This window comes from Homo sapiens, chromosome 4 (assembly GCF_000001405.40).
Source record: "Homo sapiens chromosome 4, GRCh38.p14 Primary Assembly".
NCBI classification, from domain to species: Eukaryota; Metazoa; Chordata; class Mammalia; order Primates; family Hominidae; genus Homo; species Homo sapiens.
Window position 1 is genome coordinate 6,761,945 of NC_000004.12, and position 6,511 is coordinate 6,768,455.

The 6,511-nt window shown below is 52.7% G+C and overlaps 1 long non-coding RNA gene across 1 annotated transcript, besides 1 other annotated feature; it reads left to right on the top strand.

Annotated features, from left to right (window-relative positions):
- Window positions 1-1,563: 1,563 nt before the first annotated feature.
- Window positions 1,564-5,695, top strand: LOC105374367 (uncharacterized). The gene is made up of 2 exons (XR_925101.3): window positions 1,564-1,768; window positions 5,504-5,695. It is a non-coding gene; the product is annotated as an uncharacterized LOC105374367 (long non-coding RNA).
- Window positions 1,717-2,232: an enhancer, noted in NCBI's record as "H3K4me1 hESC enhancer chr4:6765388-6765903 (GRCh37/hg19 assembly coordinates)". NCBI's record gives its function as "activates a minimal SCP1, AML or CMV promoter by ChIP-STARR-seq in primed H9 embryonic stem cells {active_cell/tissue: H9 hESC(primed)}" and the evidence as "EXISTENCE:reporter gene assay evidence [ECO:0000049][PMID:30033119]".
- Window positions 5,696-6,511: the final 816 nt, after the last annotated feature.

A 6,511-nucleotide genomic window follows, 5' to 3' on the forward strand; every position in this document is an offset into this window, starting at 1 on the left:
TCCTGCAGCTGAGCTGGGGGCCTCCGCCTGGCAGCCAGGGAGGAGGCGGGCAGCGAGGAGGCGGGCAGCGAGGAGGCGGGCAGGAGGAGGCGGGCAGCGAGGAGGCGGGCAGGAGGAGGCGGGCAGCGAGGAGGTGGGCAGGAGGAGGCGGGCAGGAGGAGCTGCGCAGCCCTCAAGGCACATCTGGAATGGAGCAGCCCGGAGGCCTGATGCGGGTGGAAGTGGCCAGCAGCCGGCCAGCTTTGGGGGCTGGGCCAGGCACGGGGAGGGTGGGTGCAGGGGTGAAGTGGGCTCCCAAACTGTGATGGCCTGTGACCAGTCTGTCTAGTGGAACAGGCACAGCTCCTGAAACATTGATGTGCATGGTCTCGCTTTTACGTTCATTTATGTACATGTTAACTATAAATGTATCTTCTGCATCAAGTTATCCACAGCACCTGGCTCTGAGTAAGCACTGAATGAATGTTAGCTATTTTTTCATTGCTCTGATGTGCTACAGTGGTTTTAAAGCATGGCCCTGAAATCTTCCGTACTTATCGCCATGAGGTGTGGGTTCTGGGTCCCTGCCTCTTGACCAGGCGGGCTTGTGACTGCTTCAACTGAAAAATACCAAGGAAGCTCGCCTTGTGTGGGTGGGGGGAAGCTACCTCACCTCTTGCTGTGGTCTGAATGTCTGTGTCCCCCAAAATTCTTATGTTGGAATCCTAACTCCCAAGATGATGGTGTTAGGGGGTGGGGCCTTTGGGAGGCGATTTGCTCGTGAGAGGGGACCCCTGTGAATGGGATTGGTGCCCTCATAAAACAGACACCAGGCCGGGCGCGGTGGCCCACATCTGTAATCCCAGCACTTTGGGACGCTGAGGTGGGCGAATCACAAGGTCAAGAGATGGAGACCATCCTGGCCAAAATGGTGAAACCCCGTCTCTACTAAAAAATACAAAAATTAGCCACGTTTGGTGGTGGGTGCCTGTAGCCCCAGCTACTCGGGAGGCTGAGGCAGGAGAACTGCTTGAACCGGGGAAGCAGAGGTCACAGTGAGCTGGGATCGCGCCACTGCACTCCAGCCTGGGCGACAGAGCGAGACTCTGTCTCAAAAAAAAAAAAAAGAAAAAGAAAAAGGAAAAAAAAAACAGACACCAAAGAGCTCCCTGGCTCCTTCTCCTGGATGAGGAGGACCCAGTAAGAAGGCACCTCTGTGAACCAGGACGCAGGTCCTCAGTAGACACCAAAACTGCCAGCGCCTTGATTTTGGACTTCCAGCATCCAGAATTCTGAGAAATCAACTTCTGTTGTCTGAGTCTGTAGTCTTTTGTTAATAGCCTGAACAGACTGAAACACCTCTCTAGGTTTACTCAAAGAGGAGATGATGGAGGTCCCTTCCTCCCAAGATGCCTACACAGGATAGAGAGGGCGCATGCAGGCAGAGCGAGTGGCTGGCACCATGAGCCATCTCCATCTCCTCAACCTGGGTATCAGCCCTTGCCCCTCCCAGGCCAGCTGCATGTGGCCACTCCTTGTTCCTGTGTGTCCCTTGGCTCACACCCCTTACCACACCCCCTTTTCCTCTCTTCCACAAGCACAACCCTTCTTCAGACGTCCATATACACTTCTCCCAAAATCCTGTGCTTAACACATTGTTACTGAGCACACAGGCGTGCTGGGGCAAGCGACGCCTGGGAATATGAAGCGAACGCCACACACTAGAACGCGCCCTGGGAGCTGGCCTCCGGTGGGGGACGCAGGTGTTGAAGACATAACCGCATGACCGGTGAGTTCATCACGATCTTGCCGAAGGCTATGAAGGAAAGTTCCAGGGGAGGAAGTGCACAGCCTGTGGGCCAGGGAAGGCTTTGCAGAGAGAAAGTGGGTCAGTGAACTGCACAGAGGAAGGAGGCAGGGCTGGTGAGTGAGGGTACGATGAGGACAGGACACACAGCACAGAAATGCTATCCCACAGCAGGGAGACCCACCTAGCCCACCGCCTCTATGCGCCTCTATTCCCCACCCATTTTGTAATTAAAGCCAAGAAATAAAAAATAAAAAAAGAGCCAGCCTGAATCCACACATATGTTCAGAAACAGGCCAGGCACACTGGCTCACACCTGTAATCCCAGCACTTTGGGGGCAACAGAGTGAGACTCTGTCTCAAAACAAACAAACACAACAACAACAACAACAACCCAGAAACGGCCGAAAACAAATCTATGGTGTTAGGAATCTGAACAGGAGTTGCCCTTTGGAGGGGTCGGCTGCGAAGGGGTGTGAGGGAGCATTCTGGGCGTGGGAATTTCTATGTCTTGACTGGAGTGGTTGGTAGCAAGAGTGAACGCATTTGATGCAACTGCATTTTACACCATGTAATTGTACCTAAAAAGAAAGAGAGAGAGAGAGATGGTGGGGAGTGGGGAAAGAGAAAGGAAGGACACGTGGACGAAAGCAAGAGGCAATAAGATAATATGAAATGAAGTGCTGGAAAAAAAAATAAAGGAGTCAGCCTCGTGGCCTCACACAGGTTTAATTTTTCTGAGCCTCAGTTTCTCCATTCATAAAATGGAATAATCGCCTGACCTCCTAGAGCTCCATGGGCCTAGAAGTTTCTGCCCACAGTGTCTGGTAGACAGGGGTACTTGGTCGTCAGTCCCCTCCCTCTGTTCCTTTCTGGACTGCATCATCCTCACCCACAAAACAGGGATGAGGACCTGATGACGGCCAAGAAAAGCCCCAGGTGGCTTCCCAGGGATCTCTGCCTGTGACTGACCTCCCCATTCCTGTTGCCTGCCTTGGCTATATCAATCTTCAAAACATGCCTTTTTAGCCAGGTGTGGTGGCTAACACCTGTAATCCCAGCATTTTGGGAGGCTGAGGCTAGAGGATCACTTGAGCCCAAGAGTTCAAGAGCAGCCTGAGCAACAAAGTGAGACCCCATTTCTACAAAAAAAAAAAAAAAATCAAAAAATTAGTTGGACATGGTGGCAGGCACCTGTGGTTCCAGTTACTTAGGAGGCTGAGGTGGGGGAATTGCTTGAGCCCAGGAGGTGGAGGCTGCAGTGAGCCATGACTGCAACACCATACCCAGCCTGGGTGACACAGTGAGATGCTGTCTCAAAATAAATAAAAACAAAACAAAACAAAACACCTCAAAACATTCCTTTTCGTTTGCTTCCTAGAACTGTCTGCCACCAACTTGTACTAACTTCCGTCTCTCACCTGGGACCGTGCAGCCAGCAGCTCCTCCTGCAAGGGATCATGGCTTACCACCATCCACCCCAATGTCTCGGAGCTGCCTCATTCTGCAGGAGGAGGCCCTTGCAGGGATGGTGGTGGCAACTGCACAGCAATGAACAAAACCGCTTTTTAAATGTCACTAGTAATTCCCAGGATCACGCACAGCTCTAGAAAGCACCGCAGTAACTATTCCTTCTGAACACCTTGGCACAGGAGACCTGGAGTGACCCTACGTGGCTTTCACCCAGGGGGAATCATGTCTGGGGCTAAATACAAGGACAAAGGAGAGAGAAGCCTGGGGGATGTCGGCTGGGGCAGTAGCAGTCAGAGAGCGAAGGGCTTGAAGGTCATATCAAGGAGTCTGAATTTTGTTGTGTACAACACAGAGGGGTATGGGAGACGGTTAAGTGGAGAACTAAGAGAACAATAAGAGACAGTGCACCAGAGATTGTTGCCTCCCCACTATCTGTTTCTCCCTCCTTCCCTTCCAGTGAAACCTTGATTTTATTCTGGCCAGAAATGTGTCTGGCCAAAGACTATATCTCCCAGTCTCCCTTGCAGCCAGATATGGCATGTGACTGTTCTAATCAATGAGACATGGGAGAAATTGATGAGGGTGCCTTGTGGAAAGCTCAATCAAAAGAGGACACAGCTGATGAAAGCTTTTTTTACCCATTTCTTCTTCCTCCTGCATTCCACCTGGAATGAAGATATTATGGTTGGTGCTCCAGCAGTTATTTTGGGCTATGAGGTAATCTCCTCATAGAGGCCAGAAATTAGGTAAGGAAGAGCAAAGAGATAGGTTAGTTGTTCCTGATCCTAGTCCAGTGATCAGTAGCCCAAGGATGTCTGGTAGACCCAAGCAGAAATGCATTTAGCCTTTCACATCCCATTCGGAGTTATCCTCTGACACTTATCCTCCAACATCCTCGTCTGTCAATGTGCCACTATGCTTTAGTTTCTTAGACCAGAAACATGGGTGTCATCATCCATTGCCCTCTTTCTCATCTGCAAACCCCAACAGTTGTGCCTCCAATTCACCCACTTCTGTTCCTTCCTGTCACTGGCAGTCTGGCCCAGGCCACCCTCCCCTCCCACCTAGAACACTGCACCTGCACCTTATCTGCTCTCCTGGCTTCCACCCTCGTTCCCAGCAGCCTGATGTTGTAGAATGGTAATCCACTCCTGTCTTTGCCTTGTAGCTTCCTCCTGAACTTAGAAAAGAATCTGCACTCCCTACCTTGACCTTCCAGAACTACCTTCCCTTCCTTACCTGCTCCCACTCTCTCTGCTTTTCAGATAAGAAAACTCACCCGTGATGAGCCCGAGGTCACAGGGTGACTGTGCTGGGCACAGCAGACACAGAGATGAGCAAGACATGTGTCCCCTCCACAAGCCCCCAGCCAGGTGCTGGACATAGCAGACAGAGAGATGAGCAAGATATATGTCCCCCCAAGATATATGAGCCCCCAGTTGGGTGCTGGGCACAGCAGACAAGGATGAACAAGACACAGGTTCCCCTCCATGAGCCCCTGATTGGATGAGAAACTCAGACAAGTGAGCTGGTGGCAAAACAACAGGGCTCCTTCTCACCTTAGGGCATCTCCACATGATGTTCTCTCTGCCAGCTGCCTTCCCCTTCACCTAGCTAAGGCCTGGTTAGTCTTTTCTTTTTCTTGAGGAGGGTCTCACTCTGTCACCTAGGCTGGAGGGCAGTGGCACATTCATGGCTCACTACAGCCTGCCCCTCCTGGGCTCAAGTGATCCTCCCACCTCTCAGCCTCCCGAGTAGCTAGGACGACAAACACACCTCACCATGCCCACCTAATTTTTTTTTTTTTTTTTTTTGAGACGGAGTCTTGCTCTGTCGCCCAGGCTTGAGTGCAGTGGCGCCATCTCGGCTCACTGCAAGCTCCGCCTCCCGGGTTCATGCCATTCTTCTGCCTCAGCCTCCCAAGTAGCTGGGACCACAGGCGCCCACCACCAAGCCCGGCTAATTTTTTGTATTTTTAGTGGAGAGGGGGTTTCACCGTGTTAGCCAGGATGGTCTCGATCTCCTGACCTTGTGATCCGCCCGCCTCGGCCTTCCAAAGTGCTGGGATTACAGGCGTGAGCCACCGCGCCCGGCCTGAAAACAGACTAATTTCAAAGAATTGGCTCACACAATTGTGAGGTCTGACTCGGCAAGTCTGAAATCTGCAGGTGGGGGGCCTACAAGCTGGAAACTCCAGGGCAGAGGCTGATGCTGCATGATTGGCAGAATTCTTTTCTTTTTCAGAGAAACCTCAGTTTTGCTCTGAAGGCCTTCAACTGCCCGGCCGAGGCTCACCCACACCAAGGGGAATCCCTTCTCTTAAAGTCAACTGATGGTAGATGTCAACCACAGCTACAAAACACCGTCACAGCAACACCTGGGTTAGCGTTTGATTGAATAAATGTGACTGGAGCCTGGCCAAGTTGATACATAAAATCAACCGGCACATTCCTTTTAGGTGAGGATTCTTTCCCTCTCTCTTTGAGGTCCCTGCTGGAGTAATTCTCCCCAGAGCTAAGTCCACCGTCTTTGGAATGAGTGTTTGGGGGTGGCCTGTCCCCCTGCCGCCCGCCCGGGCCAGGGAGATGGCCAATGCACGGCGGGCGCACCCCTATTCCCTCCTCACTCATGAGTCTGGTGGGACAACTCATCCGGTCAGTCATGATGAGTTGTCCCACTGCTGGGAACACCTGCCCTGAGAGGTCTGGATGGGCTCAGCCTCATGGCACCAGAGCAGGCAGCTCGTGAGCAGCCCCGGGGGACCAGCAGGTCACTGGCAACTGTTAAGCTGTGGAGAACTTCTCAGGGCTCAGCTGGCATTCCGACCTCCCTTTGCCTCCCACGGGCCTGGGCGGGGCCCCTTCCTTTCGTCCTTAGCCAGCCGCCACTCTGTCCTCCACTGGGAGTCCCTGCCCCCATTACTGCACCAGCTCCCCTCCCCCCACCCTGAGGACACCCACCCTGTTCGTTATAAAGGGACACAGGCACAGCTAACAAGGAACAATTGTGGGCACAGTCCAAAGTTCAGGGTTTTAAGGACACCGTTTCCGCCCCGGCCTCGTCTCTGAGATGATTCTGGGCCCATCAGAGGCTTCCGGCTTCTCCTTTTATGACCCTGAGCTTGTCGGTCTCCCTATCCTCATGCCCCCTGCCCTTGGAGAGACCCAGCCTTCCTTCTACAAGATCCCCTGCTGAGGGAGAAGGAGCTGGCTGGGGCAGGACCGTAGGCTCAGGCTACATGCCCCAAGTTCA